Here is a 23,756-nt window from a genome sequence, read left to right as displayed (position 1 = left end):
AACACACACAACCTATAAACACTTTATTATTAAAATGATTTAAAATGCAGAAATATCTAGAGTTACAAAGTACATGTTTTTGGCCAGAAATTTTTCTTTTCCTCTATTTCGGAAAAAAATATATATATAGAAGATTCCCACTAAACCCTCTTCTCCCAAGGCCACTTATCCACGTAGAGGTAACCCCTGTGACGGTTTGGGATCTCAGCAGACCTTTTCTGATGCACTTGCATTCAAATTCACAGTCATGCACAAACACATAATGGATGCAGGTATTTTAAGAAAATTAAACTCTCTGTTTTTTCGTTCTCTGAGCTCTAAATCTCACTTATTTTAAACTCTTTTCCAGAGCAATAATGTTTCCCATGTATGAATCACCAAATGCTAAATGTGCTTTTCTCAGCAAATGCAATTCATTTGAGAATAGCTCCCAATAAATTGCCTGTGATGTTCCTTTATCGCTAGAGACAATGGGCAACACAAAGGCAAGGAAGGGTCGCACCAAACCAGTCATTAGTTTTAATTTGGTCTGGCAGTTTTAATCCTTACTGTATTTTTAAGTATAATAGCATAGTACGGTATGTTCAGATTTTCTTTTCATTCTTCTTTCCTTTCTTGAACATTAAAATATTGGGCAAGGTGGGGAGAGGAATGTGATCTCTTCCTTATGAAAAAACACACCACCTACCCTATTTTGCAGACTCCATGGAATGTGGGGTGGAAATTCGGGCTTGCTGATGATTAGAGTTCAGGACTTGCTGTTTCTACAGCTCCAGCTGAGTCCTCAATAGATCTTCGTATCTCTTTCGCGTTCACCTCCTTTAATGCTTTGCTTCCTGGCACTCCAGAATGATTGGTAATATTAAATCAGGGAGATACCACCTTCTTCTTTCCAAAGTCAAAAAGTCTAGACATCATCTCTGTGCCCACGTGTGCCTAAATATTTCCTTCTTTCTAAATGGGTGATGGTGGAAAGGCAGGGCAGGCATGCTAACCCAGGCTCCTCCAAGGAAACGCTGTGGTTCAGCAAGGGGTATACGAGTTTCTGGAGGCAGACAGACATGTGGAATTCCAATACCACTTTTCCCTGTACCCTAGGGAAAGTTGCCTAGTATTTGAGCTGTAGTGTCTATATATGTAAAACCAGAATAGCAGTACCTGCTTCTGATGTTTTGAAGTTGAGATGAGCACACTGTAGATGTGTTCACCTCTCCGAGTCTGTGTACAGACCTGAACCATGACTCCTCATATTTTATAGTCACACACTACTTTCCTTGCCTTTTCTTTGCAGATACATGATCGTACTTCACTACTGTTGAATAACTTGCCTTCTGATTAACAAAATATTAAGGATATCTTGATAATGAAAAAACAATTTTCAAAAGAAGAAGGCTGCACCAGCAAGCATACAGGTGTTGACAAAAATAGAAAGGCCCTCTGACTGGGGAGGATCTAGGTACATTTGCACCCAATCAGCCAGCAACATGGAGGAGGAAAAAGGATAGAAAGGGATTATGCTCTTATGGTGCTTCATGGGTGCACCTCTGTTGATGAGCAGGGTTTGGACATCCCCATTTTTTTTCTTTTTTTTGGAGATGGAGTCTCGCTCTGTCCCCAGGCTGGAGTGCAGTGGCATGATCTCAGCTCACTGCATCCTCCGCCTCCCGGGTTCGAGCAATTCGCCTGTCTCAGCCTCCCAAGTAGCTGGGACTACAGGTGCACGCTGCCACGCCCAGCTAATTTCTTATTTTTATTTTTATTTTAGTAGAGATGGGGTTTTACTATGTTGCCCAGGCTGGTCTCAAACTCCTGAGCTCAGGCAATCTGCCCGCCTCAGCCTCCCAAAGCGCTAGGATTACAGGCGTGAGCCACCACACCCAGCCGGATATCACCATCTTTGTAAAGAAGGCTGTGAGTTTGTAACATTGAGAAAACCCCAGGAATGTCTAGAACTCCTGTGGCAGCCTGGGGCGTCCTTGTGCTGCTGAAACTGGCACAAACTGCCCTCCCCCAGAGACCAGAGGCCTGATCCCTCTTGTTTGGGGTTTCTCTAATTGCACACACATGTCTATCAGAAATGTATGATCTCCATAGCAGTTCACCTTCCTGACGTCATTCTTGTCCCCAGAGCTGGAATTAGCATTTTGCAGTGAAGTCTGGGAGTTTTTTCTATATTCAGAAAGGGACATTGAAGGCTATGCCAAAAGGCTTAGAAACATACTAGCACATGATAAGTAAAGATGAATGAGGTATTATTATTATTATTATTATTATTATTGTTATTTCTAAAGTAAGATTTTCTGGATTAGCCCCACAGAGGAGAGTCAGAGGCTTTGATATTTTATAACTGCCTCTCTGAGGGGAGCTGATTTGTTGCTGTGAATACCAAAAGACTGATTATCAGGACTGGAGAATTAGTCTATTTGGTTTATTTCCCCCCATTGGAACCTTCTCACCAGTCTTCTACCAGAAGCAAACTTAGCAGAAAAGTCCAGGAGGGAAACAAAGGTTTATTTTTTTAATCCAGAATGTGTGATCCCCAAGTTGGCATGGTAGTCAGCAAGTGCAGGCGAACAAAACTTTGAGTCTTCATTGTCTCCCCCTACTCAGCACATCTCTAAGCTTCTGGGAGCGGAGTGAGAATGAGGAGGGCGCTGGACACAGGGGCAACAGGGCCTCAGTTTCAGTTCCCACTTTGCCAAGTGCCTCACACAAGGTATTTACCTCATGCCTCAGCCTCCACAGTAGTAAATTGAAGGGGTTGGTAAGGTCCAAAATACATCAAAGTGCTCTAAGCTACTGGGGTTCAACAAACTCAGTTCCCCTGTCATCCCACCCAGTGTCCCCACTTCGATCAGAGAAGCTTCAGTGTGATGATTTCTGTACATCAAGGTTTTATGGAAATGCCCATTTGACAAAACAATTCTACATTTGGTTATTTAATAATAATTCAAACCAGTGAACGAGGTGCTGGGAGGGACCGCCATGATTCTCTGATCTTTATGAATTGTAGAGGGGGATCATAGTGGGAGGTCAGGGACAATAACAGAGAGGAGAAGAAAGGAACAAGATGGGCAAGGCCCTCCAGGAGGGCCAGAGACAGGCCTTTGTGTTCCAGCCATGCATGCACAGCAGAAGGACCATTCCTGAAGACCCTGCTGCCCCCGTCCTTCACTCCATGCCCCCACAGGTGTCCTCTTTTTGCCCGAGCAGGTAGAACAAAGAGCAGGCAAGTCAGGGGTCATGCCCTGGCTTACTGTGACCTTGGCATCATGCTGCAAAGCCTCAGCCCTCTGATCTAGAGAATGGGATCCAGCTCTCACCTCAAATGAAACACAGGTGCTGAGAGGTTTATAACTCATCAGAAAATGCCAAAATAACTAAAGCCCTGACAGGGAAAACTGTGCTGGAACAGGAAATTTCAGCTTCCAGGGACACCAGGTTTGCACCCCCAGGAAGCCTGGCTGCTTGTGAATTCCTTGTCTTTTCATCTCCAGCCCTATGTGTATGTGGAGACTCACGGCTTATCCCTCACTGCAGAGAACTGAACGAGGAAGAGGCATATGGTGAGAGAGTGCCAGTCTGTGGCTTTTTAAATGAAAATTTACATGTAAATATGAATTAGCTGAAATATCAGTTATTTTTTAATTGGCTCTTCAAATCAGCACAAGGAAAACCTGTGCCTGTTGGTCTGCTGATTGAGTGATGTTGGCTTAGAGATTCTCATCAACAGTCAATGAAGAACTACACTCTCTCCTGCTGGAAACCCTTCCATGGCTCCTTCTCGTCCTCAGATCATATCCAAATAAGATCCCATCTGCCCATCACCTCCTGTCCTCCTAATCAGCCGCTATTCCCATTCTCATTCACTCAGCCACTACCCCCATTCTCATTCAACAGCCTCCCCTGCCCATGCTAACCACAGTCACCTTCATCTGCTTCTCAAATTCATGTATGTCATGTGCTCAGCCACCTCAGAATCCTCGTGCAGTGTCCCCTCTGCCCAGCAAGCTTTACACCAGTGGATTCTCAAACTTTGGTGCTCATAAGCATCACATGGAGGGGTTATTTAAAGCACAGGCAGTTGTGCCCCAACCCCAGAGCTTCTGATTTAGAACAGCTGAGATTAGATCTGAGCATTTCCCATTTCTAACAAGTTCCCAGATGATACAAATGCTGCTGGTCTAGAGACCATACTTTGAGAACGGCTGCATCAGTCCCCCACTAACACACACCCTTCCCTTGCATAATTCCTACTCTTCCTTCACTTCTCAGTTTAAGCTGTACTTCCTCTGACTGCTTATCACGCATTGAGCTCTCCTGTTGTGCATATTCCCATCATACAAACATCTTGTACTTCTTTACAGCACGTAACAAAAGTATAAACGCTTATCTGTACAGTTGTTTTCTTACGTCTATCTTCCCTACAATTCTATAAGCTTTATAAACAAAGATCTATAATGTTCCCCACCTATGCCTTTTGCCTGACACTGTGCCTGGCATACGGTGTTTAACAAATGTTCGTTAATATTTGGATGAATGGACAGGTACATGGATCTAGAAAGACTATCCATTTCAGGCCAGGCACAGTGGCTCATGCCTGTAACCCCAGCACTTTGGGAGGCCAAGGCGGGCAGATCATGAGGTCAAGAGATCAAGACCATACTGGCCAAAATGGTGAAATCCCGTCTCTACTAAAAATACAAAAGTTAGCTGGGCATGGTGATGCACACCTATAGTCCCAGCTATAAGGCAGGAGAATCACTTGAACCTGGGAGGCAGAGGTTGCAGTGAGCCGAGATCGCGCCACTGCACTCCAACCTGGGTGACAGAGTGAGACTCCATCTCAAAGAATATCCATTTCAACTATGGGCAGAGCACTAGGAGGACTGTCTATTCAAATGTCACAGGGCATATGGCAAAGAGGTAGCCAAGGAGAGAGGGCACCTGCCTAGTTAGCCAGATCAGCTGCTCCACCCAGACTTCCCTCACGCCCTGCCCTCTTTATATACAGCAGAGAGACACACAGGGAGGATCAGAGTGTTCCACACAGTCAGGACCTGTGTTCTTGCTTTAGGCTATATGACTTTGGGCGAGTCCTTTTTCTTTCGGAGCCTCAATTTTCTCATCTGTAAACCAAGATGGTTGGATCTTTTAGCTCTAAAATTTGTTGATAATTATGGGTTCTGAAAAAAAGATGCTTCCTTTTTAATAGGATCAGTAATAGTTGGGGTGTTGGTCCTCTTCCCTAATCATGGCAAGATCATGTCAGCAAAGGAAGTCAAACTGGGAGGACTGACTGGGTTGTTGGGTTGAGGATGGAGATTCTTTTTATTATTATCTGTATAAACTTATGGGGTAGAAGTGCAATTTTGTTTTGTTTTGTTTTGTTTTGTTTTGTTTTGAGACGGAGTCTCACTCTGTCACCCAGGCTCGAGTGCAGTGGTGTCATCTCAGCTCACTGCAAGCTCCGCCCCCCAGGTTCACGTCATTCTCCCGCCTCAGCCTCCCGAGTAGCTGGGACTACAGGCGCCCGCCGCCACGCCTGGCTAATTTTGTTTTTGTGTTTTTAGTAGAGACGGGGTTTCACCATGTTAGCCAGGATGGACTATCTCCTGACCTCGTGATCCGCCTGCCTCGGCCTCCCAAAGTTCTGGGATTACAGATGTGAGCCACTGTGCCTGGCCTGCAATTTTGTTACATGCACACATCACAGGGTGATGAAGTCAGGGCTTTTAGGATATCCGTCACCCCAGTAACGTACATTGTACCCGTTAAGTAATTTCTCATCATCCAGCCACCTTCTACCCCTCACGCTTCTGAGGCTCCATTGTCATTCTCCTCTATGTCCATGTGTACACATTGTTTAGCTTCCACTTCTAAGTGAGAACCTGTGAAATTTGTCCATGTCTGACTTGTTTCACTTACAATAATGACCTCCAGTTCCATCCATGTTGCTGCAAAAGACATGATTTCATTCGTTTTTATGGCTGAATAGTATTCCATTGTGTATATATACCACATTTTCTTTACCCAATCATCCATTAATGGACACTTAGGTTGATTCCATATCTTTACTATTGTGAATAGTGCTAAGATAAACATACAAGTGCAATTGTTTTTGTTTTGTTTTGTTTTGTTTTGTTTTGTTTGAGACAGGGTTTCACTCCCATCTCCCAGGCTGGAGTGCAATGGCACAATCTAGGCTCACTGCAACCTCCGCCTCCCAGGTTCAAGCAATTCTCCTACCTCCACCTCTTGTGTAGCTGGGACTACAGGCACATACCACTATACCCAGCTAAGTTTTGTATTTTTTGTAGAGATGAGTTTTCACCACGTTGCCCTGACTGGTCTCAAATTCCTGAGCTCAGGTGATCTGCCTACCTCAGCCTCCCAAAGTGCTGGGATTACAGGCATAAGCCACTGTACCAGGCCATAAGTATCTTTTTATATAATAATTTCTTTTCTTTTGGGTAGATACCCAGTAGTGGGATTGCTGGATTGAATGGGTAGTTCTATTTTTAGTTCTTTGAGAAATCACCATACTGTTTTCCATAGAGGTTGTACTAATTTACATTCCCACCAACCACGTATAAGTGCTCCCTTACCTCTGCATCCTTGCCAGCATCTGTTATTTTTTGACTTTTTAGTAATAGCCATTCTAACTGGGGTATGATATCTCATTGTGGTTTTAATTTGCATTAGTGATGTTGAGCAGTTTTTAGGTATATATTCTGGCCATTTGTATGCCTTATTTTGCAAAATGTCTATTCACAGAGAATGAATATTCTCGCTTCTCTTTTCCCGGGGCCTCTGTGTGGAGCCACCATTCCTCAGGAACTGGGAGGGGGTTAGTGGTGAAAGGGTGAGAGACCACAGACACAGCCTCATAGGCCAGAGCCTCAGGGACATCACAGAGCACAGAAGTCCAAGGGGTGCCCACTTCCTGCTTCCTGTCATCTTAGGGGCAATGTTCCATCCAATGGCCTGGCTAAGGTTTCAGAACTCAAGCGTTTAACCAAGATTTTAAATATATTTGTGAAATATTGCATGAAGGCCCCAAAGAAATTTATACTCTTTTCTTTCTTTTTCTTTATGGCAATCATCACTGTAGATAACAACTCTGAACCTACATGGCAATGCTTATAGCTTCATTCATTCTGTCTCTGATTTATTGGAAGGGATCCACAACAGTAGTACAAATGCCCAGCATCATGTACTTGTCATCTTTGCTTTTTGTGGGCTTTTTTTTAAGAGGCAGGATCTCGCTCTGTCACCCAGGCTGGAGTGCAGTGGCATGATCACAGCTCATTGTAACCTCAAACGCCTGGGTTTGAGTGATCCTCTTGCTTCAGCCTCCCAAGTAGCTGGGACTATAGGCATACACCACCATGCCCGGCTATTTTTTATTTTTCGTAGTGATGGGATTTCCCTGTGTTACCTAAGCTAGTCTTGAACTTCTGACCTCAAGTGATCCTCCTGCCTTAGCCCCCCAGAATGCTGAGATTACAGGTAAGAGCCACCAGATCCAGCCCACTTTTTATGTTTTTAGGTTTGCACCTGTCTAGAAGTTCTCTTTGTTTTCTGTTCTTAAGGGAATACAATTGTGGTTATCTACAGAAATAAACTGATGAATAAATGATTTAGAAAAGCTGAAAGAGCAAAAGGGTAGGAGAAGAAAAGAGAAGCCAGAATTTTTACTTTCTTGACTCATTTAGAGAAAATATGCTTTTAGCCTGACTTTTACAAAAGAGATTAAGAATACTTTTACCCAAATGTTTGGATGTTATGGTAATAGCCTTCTCACATAATGTCTTTTAACCTTATACCCTGTTTTCTTTGGGCTTTTGTCAGGGTGGAGGCTGTTTCTCCTTTCTGTGGGTGTACCAGGGAGCTCTGGTTGCATGTTATTAAAAAGCAAGCTCTAAGGACCAGAAGAAAGTGAGGGCGTTTGCAGGTTCAATGGTGTGAGACTTAGAAAAGTTGATAAGAAGGATTAGAATTGAAGGATAAAAAGACTCTTACAAAGCCAAGCCATTATAGGCCCCATTACTTTATATACATTCTCCAAAAATCACATGAATGAAGGGAAAGAAAGGAAGAAAAAAACTGGCTACAGTTCAGAACGTCAATTATGTCCTCTTTTAATCCCCTTTTCACGATTTATTTGACATTTTGAACAGTGGCCAAAAAAGCTATTATAACTATAAAACATATTCATTGGTATAAATCTCATTCGTTGAATGATTTAATTAAGGTATTGACATGCTTAATTGATATGCTAAGCCAGGACCATTTTTATATCTCATTTCCATATGCTTTCTGCTTTAAGAGAAGAGAGGAGCTGGATCTTTAAAAAAAAAAAAAAAAAGTCTCCCTCCATAAAAATGCTATAGATTCATCTGTGCCTGACATCCCGGGGGACCACTTCCTGCCACTTTTCTTGATTTCGAGCCAGCCACTCCTCTAAGTGGCGCTGCTCAGAGGGAAGGTGATGTATACCCAGCTTGAGTGCCTGTCAGGCCCTCTTATGATCAATAGGAGAATATTTATATTAATAAAGCACCAAGTTAATTAAATAAAATGGTCCTCTGGGTAAACTTAAGATACTAGAGGATGGGCAGGAATCGATATATTCTGCAATTTGAACATTAAGTATGTGCCTTGAAATTTTATGGAGCTTTTAAAAACTCGCTTTGTAATGTAAAAAGTTTGAAACCACAAGTTTTCTCTGCCAAAACCTTGTCTCTGGCTTCTGAGCTGAGGGGGACTGGAAGGACTGGAGCTGCTGGAGATGGGAGCTTAGGGGAAGCCCCAGCCGACCTTCCCCTGTTCTGGAGCTCCCCTCTGGCTGGATGCAAAGGTGGGGGGGTGTCTCAGAGGACAAGGCTGGGCTGAAGCACAGAGACCTGAGCTCGGTGCAGGGTCCAGGGAGGATGGCACGTCCTCATCCCCAGAGGAATCTCAGGAGGAGATCCTGGGGAAGCCCAAATGCTAAGATCTTTTGCAAGAACCTCTGTCTGCCAGCCCCATACTTGCTTGGCCTTTCCCTTTTGTTCTCTCAGCCTGTCTCTTTCTGTATGTCCCTTTGTGTGTGTGTGTGTGTGTGTGTGTGTGTGTACGTGCACCTGTCTCCATCCTCTTTCTCTTTGCCTCACATCCGTATCTTTCTCTGTGTGTCTCTTCCTTTCACGGTCTCTTCTGTGAAATGACTGTCTCTGTGTATGTGTGTTTCAGTCTCCGACTTTTATTTCTCTTTTGCTTTCTCTGGTTTTATTGTCTCTGTCCCACTGTGTCAGTCTCCCTCTTTAACTGTCTTTCTCTCCCTCTCTCTGTCTCTCTCTCTCTCTCATCTTTATATCTGTCTATCTTTAAAGGGATCACACGTTCATGGACTCAGCCCCTCAGCACTCAGAGGCTGACTTTCTGGTCTGTCCCTGGCTCCTGGAGCAGCCTCCTCCATGGGGTTTGGAGATGGAAAAGAGGAAAGACATCCAAGGAGTCCTGCCTCAAGCAGCTGGGTCCGCTTGCAGAGGTGACATCATACTTGTCACCCCACTTGTCCGCTCCCAGGGACTGTCTTCTTATTTTCTTAGTGTTGACCTGCAATGCCTAACGCCCTGGGTACATAGTAGTCACCCTAGTAATGATGATGCTTCATTGAAATGTAAGCCCCAAGACAGGTTTAATAGGGTTGTGAGGATTTCCTTCTCCAAAGAGAGTAGCCACAACTAAGGAATTTGTTTTAGTGGTGACAGATGAACCTCCCATTCCCACCTTGCATAATGATGGCTTTTCCTGCACGGCTCTGGACCCCTTTGAAGCTCACCCAGACCCCAGCCTCCTTTGAAAGGCAGAAGGGTGCTTTGACTTGCCCTGAGCCGGCACAGAAGTGGCTGGACCAACATTCTGCTCTTGGCCCAGATCCTGTGCTTGGGCAGGGGCCACTTCCCAGTGTCTTCCCACTGTCCCACCGACGCCCTTCAGGCCCCCCTTCTTTTCCCTTCTCTTTGTGGGAGTCTCCTGCCAACTTCTCCTCTGCACAGCAATTGCTGCACAGTCAACCATTTTCCAACCAGCCTCGTAGGGGCTGGGAGGCTTTAACCTGTGTTCCCATCTTTGCCATCTTTGGGAGATTGTGGTAGATTCCACGAGAGAGAGTCTCCCTGCAGGCCCCAGGAAAGCTTTGAGGCATGACAGGCCAAATGGAAACCAATTACTACTTTCTTTCATATTGAACTTGACCTGGAGTTGCTGCTTTACAGTCTTAGTGTTCCTCTGTAATATTCTGTGGGGCAAGAAGGCAGGGTTTTTCTTTTACTCACAGTGTTGAATGCTGACTTGAACAGATGCAAGTACTGATAAGAACCAGTACTTATCCAGTGCTGGTTTTTTATGAGGGACACAGCATGTGATGAACTCGAAATTCATTAACTATTTTATAATAATTCCCGCACGTAGGTATTTTCATGGTCCGCATTATACAGATGCAAAAACTGAGGCCCAGTCAAGCAAGTGACAAAGCTGGAGTTCACACCAAGGTCTTTTAGGCTCCTGAGCCGTGCCTTCACTACGGTACCTCACTGCCTCCTGGGGTCTTGGCCATAGGCACGACTTCTAGCAGGCATGTAAGGCAAGGAGTTGAGTTACCAAGAAAAGTATGGCTTGGGCTATAGGGGATGAACAGTCTCAGAAACACAAAGGAAGCATTTTAGAAGTTTCCCCCCTGCCTCCTACCTTGGAGGTCCTTTTCTCTTTGCTGGGGACAGGGGAGTTGATTCTATTTGGCACGAGACTAGTGGCAGCAGTCTCACATTTGTCACTAATGAATTTCATCTCTGCAGTTCATTGGGTCCTCCCAGTGCTCATGTCCCTTGTCTAGTGCCTTTCAGGCTTAATGGCCAGAAGCAGGTCTGGGATTAATTATTAGTGTTAACTTCCAACTTGGTGTAAATCTATTGAACTGCATCCATTTTTACATAAATAAGCAAGAGAACAGCATCTATTCTCCTGTAGTCAATATCAGCACATCCACAGGTGTGAGTTATTAGCAATAACTGTAATTGCTTTGAATGGAACAATAAATAGCGCATGGGGTCATGATGAGAAACGTCATTCTATAGTATTAACATAGCTTAATGGCTTAAGCTCCTATATATTTCATCCGTTACTGGGCTTCTGGAGGCCAGCTTTGCAACTCAGGGTGCTGAGCTCTTGCTGAATTGCTTTCCTGCTTTGGTGGAAGATAATTTTGAGCTTTTCTGAAGCATACTGATTTTATCAGCAGATGGCCCCAGGATAGCATCTCACCTCTACCATTGAGGTTTCACTTGTTTAATGGTCTTCTGAAAAGTTACAAGAAAGCACAGACATATACAAGTCCCATGTCCTTGAGCTGCAGTGCTGCCTGCCAAACTCCAACCTCTGGGCAGCCGCAGCCCAGGCACAGCCCCTCCCCACCCTGCCCTGGCATGTTCATGTTTCCTCAGTGGAACAGAGTGGGCCACATAAGAGGAACTCTAGTGCCATATCACAAAGAGTGTTAGGGTTAGGTAGATCCGGAGCAATGTTCCAAGAATCCTTTCTTCATGATCAAGCTGAACATTTAAGGTTACAGTGGGGTAGACACTAGGAAGTGGCTTCAACTTCTCCCAAACTGCAGTGCCTTAGCCCGCTGACTTCCTCTCTTTTTCTTACCTCCTCACCTCACTACAACCCTCAACTTTATTTCTGTACATCTTCAGCCTCTGGGAGGGTTTCCAGAGCTTTTAGACAATTTGCCTGGAAGGAGTCAGATCACAGTGTAGATTATCCCAAAGATCATCAGAACTTCCTCACTGCCAATGACCCTCTTCTAACATCTCCTGGAGGCTGTTGCTTAAAGTATCTCCTTCTGTACCTGAGCTTCATTATCTGTATTATCCTAATCTCTATGAGTGCCAGAATTCAGAAAGGAGGAGGGGAGAAGTTGTTCTTGGAGATGAAACGCTGTCAGGCACACAGCCCTTTTCTGGATTGAATGCATTTTCCAAATCTATTGTACCCTCTCAGGCCAGGTTTAATCTGTATTCCGAAAAATCAAGTTATCTGTCCACTTAGCCTACCTTCCCACTGTAACTGCTCATTCCCACGCCTCAGCTTAGCTCACTAAACCTTTCCCCATCAAAGGCTTTATCTGTGGCTCCTTAGTTCACAAGCCTGTTCTAGGAGCATTAGTTCTCAAGCATGGTATGCCACCAGGGTTGTAGAGGTAGAAGGATGGAGGAGGACAGCCAGAGCTCTTTGTAATCCAAAGGGACAAACTGGACTTGGGGGAAAAAAAGATTCCCATAGCTTGAGATGTATTCTCAGTCATCCATGGACCAAGCAATGGCATAAAATCATGTTCACTTATTTTTTTTATCCACTTAAATTTTTTAAAGCTATGCATCAGGCCTCATGCTGAGCAAATGCTCCTGCCTACACGAAGCTAATAATTTAGTCAGAGAGCCATCATAAAACACTACATTGCCAACCTCCCCATAGTCGGCATGGTGAAGCAACCAGCAACCTTTCCAAAACCAAACTTACTCTTTCCTGTGCCCAGGTAGCTACTCTGCCTTTAGGTTTTTTGATAAAGTCAAATTTGACAGGGCCCTGGGACAAGTTACTGAGTTAAAAAAGACCACCTTGGTGGAGGATCTGCCATTTTATTTGAGCTTTCTTTTTCAGGAAAAGATAAGAGGATGTAGAAAAGAGGTTGAATCAATCAGCCTCACTCCCCTCCTTCCTGACACCAACAGAAATGGGCCCAAGTGGTAACTGAGAATATAAATTTAAGAAAAACATGTTAGAAGCACACTCCCCATCCCCTTAATTTTTGCTAATTATCACATAAGTAGATCTTCACCTATGGGATACTATGCCTCTGAACCTAGGCTATCAGGCCACAGACCTAGGAGGCAAATGAGGGGGCCCAGGTCAGCAATTAATCACAGAGCAGGCCAAATGCACACACTTCATTTCAGAACAATTTCATAAACGTTCCCCTGCCCCTGCCACCTCCCCCTCACTCACAAGATTTCATCTCCTAATTGCAAAAGCTTTTTGGCATGGGAATGTCTTTGTGAAGAAGAGAGGACTCAATTTGGGCCATCTCTCTAAAGAAGACACGGGAACAAGGACGCTTCTCCAATTAATCAGCAAATGCTTGGCTCCAGCTTTCGGGCCAAAGGATCGATTTACATAAAGCTACTTCTTGAGATGAATTTGCCTCCCCCTCTCCTCCCCCTGCCTTCCCCTGCCTTCCCCTTGTCCAGCCAGCATTAGACATGCTACTGGATTTCAGATTGACAGTGTTAGCTATGACAATCAAATTAGGGATGAAAGCCTCAGATGGCTGCCAAGGAAAAGGGACAGAGGGGGTGGGGACCAGTATGTCAGCCTCAGAGGAGGATAGATTGTATAGAAATGGGTTCCCTTTCCCAAACCCCACTGGGCAGACACACAGCTTCAAACAATAAGAGATAAACAAAACGCCAGTCTCCATCCTTTTGAATCAGGTGAACAAGCTCCCTGTCCACACCCAACCAAGGTTGATAAATTAAACCAGAACTTCTCATTGGGTCCAAAATTGGCAGGGGACTATCTCAGGTACTCAATTAGATCTTTACAATCAGATGATTTTCAGCACCAGATTTCTGCACACAATGTGAAGACACCAAAATCGCAGTTGTACCCCCTGAAGTGTATATAATGAGGTACGTGTGGACTGTGGAATCAGACGCCTGTGGTTGGAACCCCACTGATATTTCCTGGACCACTTAGTGACACAGGGAAGCCTGGACCAGAACAGAGGGCATAATTGGGCTGATAATGAGAGCTCCCCAATCCCACCTAATGTAACTAACTGCCTTGTCGCTAAATTGAGATAATCCCAGGGATTAGTGAGCTGTTGAGAAGCTCAGCCTCTGTCCCATTTGCTGGAGATGATCAGTCAATTATAATGCTGTTTCATGAACACAAAGAGCCTTAGTTGGAGTTGCATATGATAATTAAATGAAGAAAGCTTCCGTTTGGACTGGAAGCATCAGTTAACTCTGATAGCCCTGGAAGAGTGGTGGTTTGGAAAAACTCAGATTAAATCCTATGGCTGCAAAGAGGTATCTGTTCACAGGAGGAATGGCTGAATGAATGGAATATTCTAAACCATGGCTTGCTGCCCTGGATTCAGGGCTTTCAACCTTGACTGATTTTCCTCCACATTTCCTATCTGTATACTCAGAACCCCCAAGCAGTCTTGTATCGGGCTCCTTAGATTGGTTCCAACATCTGAAGACTTTTTCCCTCCTTTGGCAATGAGATGCTGCGTAGCTACAGCATCAAGTTCCTTATTCTAAAACATACTGTCCAATATAGTAGGCACTAGCTATGTGTGATCACTGAGCACTCAGAATGTGGCCAGTCCAGATTGAGGTGTGTGTAAAATACACATCAGACTTTAAAGACTTGGAATGAAAAAAGGAATGCAAAGCATCTCATTAATAAATGTTTATATTGATTACATCTTGAAATGGCAATCTTTTGGATATATTGAGTTAAATATCATATTAAAATTAATTTCAACTGTTTCTTTTTACTGTTTTTAATATGGCTAATAGAAAATTTTAAATTGCATTCTTGGCTTGTGATATATTTCCGTGGGACAGCGCCATTCTAGAATTAGCAGATCGCCCCTGAGGAGGTGACAGTCTCTGCATCCTCACTGGTCACAAATCTGAGCCTGCAGGCCAAGTTCTTCCCAGGGTGAAGCATCCAATTGGCTGGCACAGAGAGTTATTTGGTTTTGATTTTGTTGAAATAACATCCCCAGCTCGCTTTCTGACTATTCCTGTTGTCCACATGCAGCCCGACTTCCTCATTTACTTTACCTGCACAACCCTGAAGCATCTGAGTTTGCAATCTTTGGAACACCTGCCCAGAAAGAGACAAAACAGGCACTCGTATTGGTAACTAGTCACAGAGCAAACCTATAATCTCAACTCCATCTGTAGCATTTTGTAGAAGCTTGCAGCCTAACAGGTTCTTTTCCTTTTTCCCTTTGGTCAGAATGCTCCCCTGGGACCAAGCATCTTATCTCCATAGTGCTTGGACCTCAGGCCTTCACCCTCAGTCACAGCTCCAGGACTGTTTCTCAGCCTGGCTGTTCAGCCCTGTTCATCACCTGCCCTCTAGTGATTTCTCCCAGATTTCAGCCTTCCTAGAAAACTGTAGGGAATCCCTGGTCTGTGAGGCCTTACCAGGAATGTCCTAATCCCAGCAACCAGTCTCCCCTCCAAGCTTGAAGGAGTCCAAGGACAAAGTGCTTGGTTTTCTTCTGCCACGTCTCTGGCTCCCAGGGGAGGGTGTAACCATCCATGGACTCTTACCCTTCTAGGTCAGCCTCCCCGGGCTCCTGAGTGGCTTTCTGAAATACAGATTAAATGTCATCATTCTCCCCACTTCAGCCTTCTCCTGTGCCTCTGCCTATCCCACAGGCATTTTGCCCAACATCAGCAGTCTCATGTCTGAGACACAGGAGGCCTTTGCATCCTGCTCCCAAAATTTTCCCTAAAATTAGACTTTAACATTTAAGGTAGTAGGATGCTATATTTGTGAACTTCATGCTAGAACATGAAGATAGGAATTTGCATTATATACTGCATAAGAGTTTAGAAAGCACTCGCTTGTCCATTATCTCTGATGCCTATCCCAGTTTCTTAGAAGTGCAAGTTGAGATTCAGAGAATTGAACTGGTGCTCTTAAAGACACACAGCATGTTGAGTAGCAGAACCGGGATGTGAACTTAGCACCTAATCCGATGCAATCATCATTCCACCCATGGTTCTCAAACTTGTTTAAAATTAGACTGAAGCCCATCCTTAGGGTTTCTGATTCAGTAGGTTTGGGATGGACCCCAGGAATCTGCATGCTTTTTTTATTATGGAAAATGTCACACATACATAAAAGCAAAGCACAGATGATAAATGAAACTCCCTTGTACTTATCGCCAAGCTCCAATAAGTATCAACCCATGGCCAACCTTGTTTCATCTATTCTTCTACCACTTCTTTCTCTCCTATATTATTTTGAAGCAAAACTTAGAGATCATTTTATTCTTAATTATTTCAGTATGTATCTCTCAAAGATAAAGACATAAATGAAAGAAAACATAACCACAATTCTATTCTCACTTTAAATTTTTAAAAATTAACAGGAATGAATGTGTATTTTGTTCTCATAGCAAGGTTCATGGTCTATCTGATCAGAAGATTATTCTATGACAACAACAGCCCCATACCATCCCAATTCTTGATAATATCTTTGTACTATTCTGATTTTTCTCAAACTGTCCACCTTGAAAGATAAAACCAAAGTACCTGATGAAACAAGCCTGCATTCCCTGTGAGTCCTCTTGATTCAGATTGGCATCTCTCTCTTTTCCTTCCGAAAATTTAAAAAGATTTTGGGCCCCAGCTAAAATAAACTGTAAAATCTTTTGCTTGGTCTGGGAGCAATCCATAGTGTGAGTTTAGAGACAAGCTTTCTTCTGGATAAAACGGAGAAACAGTGAAACTGGTGCTCTCTCTCTTTTTTTTTTTTTTTTTTTTTTAGATGGAGTCTCGCTTGTCACCCAGGCTGGGGTGCGGTGGTGTGATCTTGGCTCACTGCAACCTCCCGCTCCCGGGTTCAAGCCATTCTCCTGCCTTAGCCTCAGTAGCTGGGATTACAGGTGCCCACCACCACGCCTGGCTAATTTTTGTATTTTTAGTAGAGTTGGTGTTTCACCATGTTGGCGAGGCTGGTCTCGAAATCCTGACATTGGTGATCCACCCGCCTCAACCTCCCAAAGTGCTGGGATTACAGGCATGAGCGGCCACCCATCCTTGCTCTCACTTTTTGAGGTGTCTAGATGTTTATTTTATATTTGTAGAAGTAAGGGGGTCTATTTCTTTGTATCTGGGATAAATAAGGATGTAAACTGCAGGAGGACAGAAACTTAGGACTATCCACTTTTCTATCTCAACTTCAACCATAGTGGAACACATAGTAGGTATTCAATTCATTTTTGAGGGAAATAAGCATCTGAGCTGACACTTAATCCATCAGTATTAAACATCTGAATGGCATGGCCAGGACTTTTCTGATGAATCTGTGAGGGAAAGGATTGCAGAAGGAGCTTTTATTGATATCCTTCATCCAGTAACTTTTTAACCTCAAGGGAACACGTAAAGTAAACTCTCACTGCAATGAAATATTCAGAAACACAACTGGAGCAGTGGGAAATAATTGGCGTTTTTTTGTCCCCCATTGATACTTTGATTCCCTGGATCCCTGAGATAGGTGTCAGTTCTTTCAGGAAATTAGTCATTACTCCATTGTAATCTTCCTCAGACAAAGGCTGCCATTGACTAGACACCCAGCTGGAGGTACCAGAGCTTAGCTGGGACATATGCTTGGTGCTCATTTGATTTTGACAGTGACCCAACTGCAAACATACAATCTTGCTTATTAAGATAAATTGCCTGCAGAAGAGATGTACCTATTAAGATAAATCTTCCCTGAAGTCCACATTGTAGAATCCCCAGGGGATAATTTTTCCTGCATGTTTGTCCCTCCTGCTGTATAAAATAAAGTAAGCAAAACAGTGTCTTTCCCTTTAGCTCCTAGCACAGAGCGATGTGTCACTGGGTTACTATATATTAGAAAGTTGGGGTTCAGGGGGCAGGAAGAAAGAGTGCAGCTTTATGTAAGATGGTAGTATTGAGAGTACAGGAAATTTTAGATTTGTAGATTATCTGTCAAAATTTTTTAAATCCCTAAATGAGTTTTGATTGATACTGAATGCACCAATGGGCAGGTTTCCTCCTACTGGGCAGAGAATGTGAAAGTAATTTTAATATATATTCAGGCCAAAGAGAATCAGAATGGTAATTCACTGCCCTGATCCCAAATCCAATAATGGTTCCAAACATAAATGCTTTGAAGATCATCCCCTATTTTAGCCTAACTAATCAAGAGTTGATGGAATTTTTTTTAATGTTATTGAAAAGGCACCACATTGGTCTCAGTGCAGAGGGATTGAAGAGGTAGTCAAAGAAGTGCAAACCTCATCAGATGCCAGATTGGGTTGTTCCCACATTCTTTGGTCAGTTAGTTTCCCTTGTAGCCTCTTGATCTGTGGTCCTAGATATGCCGTCTTTTGAGAGTGATATTTTAATCTGCTGAGGACTTGTAGATTCAGAACTATCCCCGAAGCCTTCTTAGGAATACTTTGGGGTGGATCCCCTTGGGTTCCTTCTGTTGCTACTGGGTCCTATCACCTGCTTCTTTGAACTTCACTGCTAAAGTCTCCTAGCTGGGAACATCTTCAGCAATCTGTCCTTGGGTTGCTGGAGTCACCATACCCAGCATTCATGGAGGGCAGGCAGAGCCTGGGAGTTTACATTTCTCTTGAGTGGTCCCTAACCAAGGACTGTCTGATGCAGGGCTGCAGAAGCCCAGCTCCCTTGCTCAGAGACAGGAGTTCCCCATCATATTGGGCTAAGGCCAAGACTTCACCTGATTGTACTTTTATTTGCCTTTTCCATTAGGTTTCCATCCTCACTGGTCTCTCCCGGGAGCACTTCATTAATCACTTAACCCCCGTGTCCTTGGCTCGGTGTCTGTTTCTGAGAGAACCCAACATAAGACAGACCTCTTATTTCTGAATCCAGCTCTCTTGTTTTATCCAAAAGAATCTAGAATCAAACATGGCTACCCCTGTCTAGATGACAGAGGAGAGAAACTTTTTAATCCCTCCCTCAGATTTTATGGAAAGAGTACAGCAACATTTACGTATTTTATTCTTTGTAGAGTTGAAGGCATATGTCCTGGGGGTGCTGAAAAAGGACATTTTCAGCAATGTCAATCCAGTGCTAAATGGGAGGAAATTACAAAAAGGAAATGCAGCTATTCATTGAGTGCCTACGGTGTTCTAGGTGCTGTGCAGAGTGCTCTGCAGAGCACTACAAGCTGTAGTCTAATAAGTCATAATGGCACCTGTATAGACTTCCAGGTGGGACTGTGATGTTTCTGGGCGCACTATCCGTATGACTTAGGAAAGCAGTCCCATTTGACAGTTGGAGATGTGAGACAGAGTCATGCAGTTGACCAGATTCACACAACTAATGTGCAAATGATTCCACACGGTGCTCTACGTGTAATCATTTCGCTCTCACAACTAACTGATGAGGTTAGTAAAACTAACAACCCCACTGTAAAGATGGGGAAACTGAGGCAAAGAGCATTTTAGTAACTTGAATGATCATACAGCTCATAATTAGCCCCACCCACTTCAGAAACAAGAAATCTCCAAGTTTTGAGGAACTTCCAAACCCCATTTTGTAGCTTCGGAATTAATTTGGGAGTGACCTCTAGGATCAAATTCCCTCCACCAACTGCCATTTAACACAGACAGGATTTCCTGGTAGCATGAATGTGACCAAGACAAGTGCATTGTCCCCAGCAGGGCAAAGAGGAGAACATGTTCCTCCTCCTAGTCTTGCAGGGGTAGGGGTGAAGGTGGGAACTGTCATTCTCTGCTCCTCCAAGAACAAAGCATGCCTGACATTGCAGGGAGAGCCCCAGGAAGCATTTCAAAAGCTCCACTGGAACTAGACAGCCTTTCAATCCATTTATCAAAGTGTCTGCAGTTCCCATTTCAAGGGTAGATGAAGCAATAATAAATTTGCGAAGAAAGTTAATCTGTGTCCAAAGCATTTTAGTAAATTAAAAAGGTGGGGAGGGTGGCTGGAAGGGGGATATATTGGTTCTTGCCAACTCCTATTTGACTTACTGTCTCCTTAATAAGTCCTCTTTGGTCTTGTGTTTTTGGATGGAATAATCAGTTGGTTAATCATTTTCCGGAAGCTGGAAAATGCACTTTAGCTAATGCAGTTCTCCTTTTCTCTCAGAGCCCTAATTATTTAAAAAGGCATCCCAATTCCTAGCCCTACTCCCCAACCAAGAAAGCCTTTCCCACCAGCCATCTTCCTTTACTTACCCAGAAAAATACTGCACACCTCCCACTCCTGCACCCTACTCCAATCTCATGCCTTTCTTCTAGTGTTTAGAAAAACAAAAATCCCCTTCTCAGGTCACTTCTGAGCATGTCTGCCCTCCTCAGCCCTGAGCTGCTTCCCTCGTGAAAGGGGAGACACTAAAACCCCAACAGGAAATTGGCCAGCGCTAGGCTCTTGGGCATCGTGGATAGATTTTGTTATTTTTATTTAAGTGTCAGTGGAAAATGGTGGCTCTTGTCTCTCTCGAGGATAGTACTTAATGATAGCTCCATGCTCTGGCACCACGTAGAGATAAACACACTATTAGGAACTCTCACAAAGGCCCTGCGATAATTGTGAAGGGACTGTTACCGAAAATGAAGCGCCCAGCCCTGAACCCTCCTCCACGCCCCATCAGTAACACCATTGAAGCTGTCAGTTTGTCAGCCCACTGGAGGTATTTATGAAATCAATATACAGTCCTGCAGATGGATGGCAGCAGTATTGTTAGCCGGAGAAGGGAAGCTCAATGGAAAATAAAATTAATAAAATTTACAAGCAGATTGTCATGGGGATCAGATAAATTCCCTACAATCTACTGTTTTGCTCAATTGGGACAGGAGGAAAGCAGTGACAGGGAGATGGGAAGAAAGCTGTGTTTCAACTGGCTCCGTAAAGTAGGAGCAAGGCTGGTTATATTTACAGCAAGAAAATAGTGAACAGAAACCAAAGCGCTGCCCCACCCAAGTGCAGGATTTTGCCTGTGTGGGAGGTCTCCCAGCAACATGGCCAGATTTTTCTGCTTAAATATCGCTCTCCTCTCCTCATCCCACCGTATTGCAAATCAGAACCTTTGTACGACTGCTACTCCTCCCAGTGTATTATGGGATGTTGTCTACTCAAACAAGGTTAGTGCATTACTGGAACACATGCCCCCTCATCCAGCTTCCAGCTATGGTTCAAGCTGACAGCTCTAAACCTCTCTCCTGTTTGCTCCCCCTGCCTCTGATTTTGATCATCAACCATTTTCCAAAAGTGTGACTGGGGCTCATCTTCCAGAGCCGCCAGAGAGAGCAGCCAATCCTGGGAGGGTAGTGGGCAAAGGCTCGGTGGCCTACAGACCAGCTTCATTTGGCAGAAAAGACTGGACTCATTGTGACTGCCAGAGCCTCGGGTGCTGCCCAGATGCCTGGTGGAAATTGCATTAGTCAGATGACAGGACCTGGGCCCCTGCTCCGGAGGCTGATGGAGAGCAGCTGAGTGGCCTTGGTGACACCGCCTGACCTCTGCTGTCATCGTGGGCTTTGTTCAGCGCCCCGACTCCAGGCTGGAGCCCTGCTCATTGAATCAGGCCTGGCTGGGGGAGCCTGAGACAGCGCTCATTGTGCATCTGAATTTACTTACATCGGTTGCAGACAGAGGAAACTGGATTTGAGATAGGGAGCACCCTGTTACTCAGCCCCAGAAGCCACTAGTACTCACACCGGCACTCTACCCCAAGTCAGCCTTGTTTTGTGGGCCTAAAAGTAGCCCCAGATGATCGTCAAGTTTCGTTTTAGCTAGCTGCTCAGAGCACATGGCTTGTCCCAGCAGCAGATGGGAGATCAGAAAAAAGTGGACACCTCTTTTCTGCTTCCTCTTTTCCCTCCTGCCCCTTTGCAAAATGTTCATTTAGACTGCCCAGATTTTAGTGGAGGGCAGTCGTCTGATGTCTCCTGCCAAATATAACTGGAGTCATCTAAAGCTTTTGATTAGGTGCCCTTGGAAAATCAGCATGGAGTGTCCACAGGTACAATCTGTCCGTAGGTCAACTCAGGACCCATTTAACCTGTGACCAGCAAGTTCTCCTTCTAGGACCCCGTACCAAGGAGATAGTTAGACAAGTGTCCCCAAAATGTGCATGCACAGAAGTTCACCCTAGTGTTTTCATTAAATAGCAAATAAATAAATGCCTACCCAACAATTTGGGACCCATATAGCCACTCATACAATTGGACGATATACAACCATTAAAAATGTTGATATCAATGCACTATTAATGACAGGGACAGATGTTCTCAATATAGCAAGCAAAAATAATAGGTTATAATAGACTGTATATTGTGAGGTCATATTGGTGGAATTTCATATATATATATATATATATATATATATATATCTCGTAATTGGTAGCAGTAGTTAGATCTGCAACGTTTTTTTTTTACCTTAATATTTGAGGGTTTTTCGGGTGTTCTTTTAAAAAATAATGTGTATGTATAGCACTGTGTGTGTGTGTGTGTGAGAGAGAGAGAGAGAGACACCTTTTATATCTGAAGAAAGTGTAAAGAGCTCATTGTGTCCCTAGCCCCCGGCTCTGCACCCCCCGACCACGCCATAGTCCTCAGAGAGGCTTCTGCAGCCTGTGGCTGTGCGGGAACAGCCTGGAAGGAGGCCTGGCATGAGTGTTTTGCAGGGCCAGTTTGCACGCTCTGGAGGCCTGATGGGTCGGTCTTTACAGATTGATTACTCGTTGAGATCCAAGCAGGCCTGCGTTCTTAGTGAAAACAAGTGCACATGTTTGGTCTAGCAAAAACTAAATGTGGGAAACAAACCAAAAAAAAAAAACAGCCCATATCTTTCTTAGAAAGGAAGTAAGGCTTTGGGAATGCTTACAGTCTGGGGACATAGGTTTAGCCAGCTGTAGAACCTGACACTATCCCTCACCCTCCTCAAAGCAACATGCTGGCACTGCTTAATGCTAGATGAGGTGCCTGTGGGACCCCCACTTTGCATGGACCTGTGGAAATGCAATTTGAAATTATCGTGCCTGTCACTAAGAAGGTCTAGGGGCCCCCAGGAATCTCTGGGACTCTCGAGTAAGCTGAAGTGGTCATCCCCCATCAGAAAATCAGAATGGGCAGGCTCTGTTCCAATCCCCTGTGACAAAGGCAGATTGTCCTGAGCAGCAGAGGACAGCACTGAGAGATGGGAGATTGAGCGGCGTTGACCCCACAGTGGGGGAGGAATGCCGTGTGGGGGTTGGGGGGATGGGGGGCAGGGGGTTGTCTCCGGGAGGTGGGAAAACAGAGAATTGGGTGCAGTGTGTGCAACAAATAACCCAGCCTCTTGGCTCGTGGCCTGGAGGTGCGAGACCACCCACAGAGCCTGCCCTGGAGGCGAGCTGCTCCGCCTGGTAACCATTTCAGCAACGGCCATCACTTGAAGAACAATGTGAATGCTTGTAGCAGCCTGGGGCCCGAGACCAAACAGCCGCCATACACTCTGACCGCAGAGGCAGCAGCCTGGGTGGGGGGGATTGTTATCATTTAATGAGATGCAGATCAAGACAGCCTGGGTCTTTAATGCAGTGTGCCTCTTCTCTTCTTGTTTAGAGATTTGAGTGAAAACCAGATCCAGGGGATCCCGAGGAAGGCGTTCCGCGGCATCACCGATGTGAAGAACCTGTAAGTGATGTTTTCCTTGCTTCACTACGTATGTGGCTAACTTGGGCTCTCTGACCAGAGTGAGGGTGAGGGATGGGACAAGAGGGTGGTCCAGGTGCCTTCAGAGATGAAATTGAGGGCTGTGCTTGAGTGATTTCTAGGGAACACACGTTGGATGCCACAATACTGTCACAGAAACCTGTGCTTTGCTGGTTAGTCATCCCCAGATATGAGCACTGGAGCCTCAGTGCCTGCTGAGTTAGAGCCTGGCCCT

The 23,756-nt window shown here is 44.6% G+C and overlaps 1 protein-coding gene and 1 long non-coding RNA gene across 5 annotated transcripts in view; one reads left to right on the top strand and one right to left on the bottom strand.

Annotated features, from left to right (window-relative positions):
* SLIT3 (slit guidance ligand 3) overlaps nucleotides 1-23,756 on the top strand; it is a 639,400-nt gene that overhangs the window by 394,372 nt on the left and 221,272 nt on the right. For all 3 annotated transcript variants that reach the window (NM_003062.4, NM_001271946.2, XM_017009779.1), the window contains exon 5: nucleotides 23,432-23,503. In NM_003062.4, the coding sequence (NP_003053.2) occupies nucleotides 23,432-23,503 (72 nt within the window). The remainder of the gene's footprint in view (nucleotides 1-23,431; nucleotides 23,504-23,756) is intronic.
* On the bottom strand, nucleotides 14,624-20,196 carry LOC105377713 (uncharacterized). 2 transcript variants are annotated; one of them, XR_941197.3, is made up of 4 exons: nucleotides 20,063-20,196; nucleotides 15,279-15,445; nucleotides 14,910-14,952; nucleotides 14,624-14,801 (listed from the first exon to the last, which is right to left on the bottom strand). It is a non-coding gene; the product is annotated as an uncharacterized LOC105377713 (long non-coding RNA). The 2 variants fall into 2 exon arrangements; XR_941196.3 differs by having other exon boundaries at nucleotides 14,624-14,952.

This window comes from Homo sapiens, chromosome 5 (assembly GCF_000001405.40).
Source record: "Homo sapiens chromosome 5, GRCh38.p14 Primary Assembly".
Lineage (NCBI taxonomy): Eukaryota > Metazoa > Chordata > Mammalia > Primates > Hominidae > Homo > Homo sapiens.
This window is presented reverse-complemented; position numbering and strand designations above follow the sequence as displayed.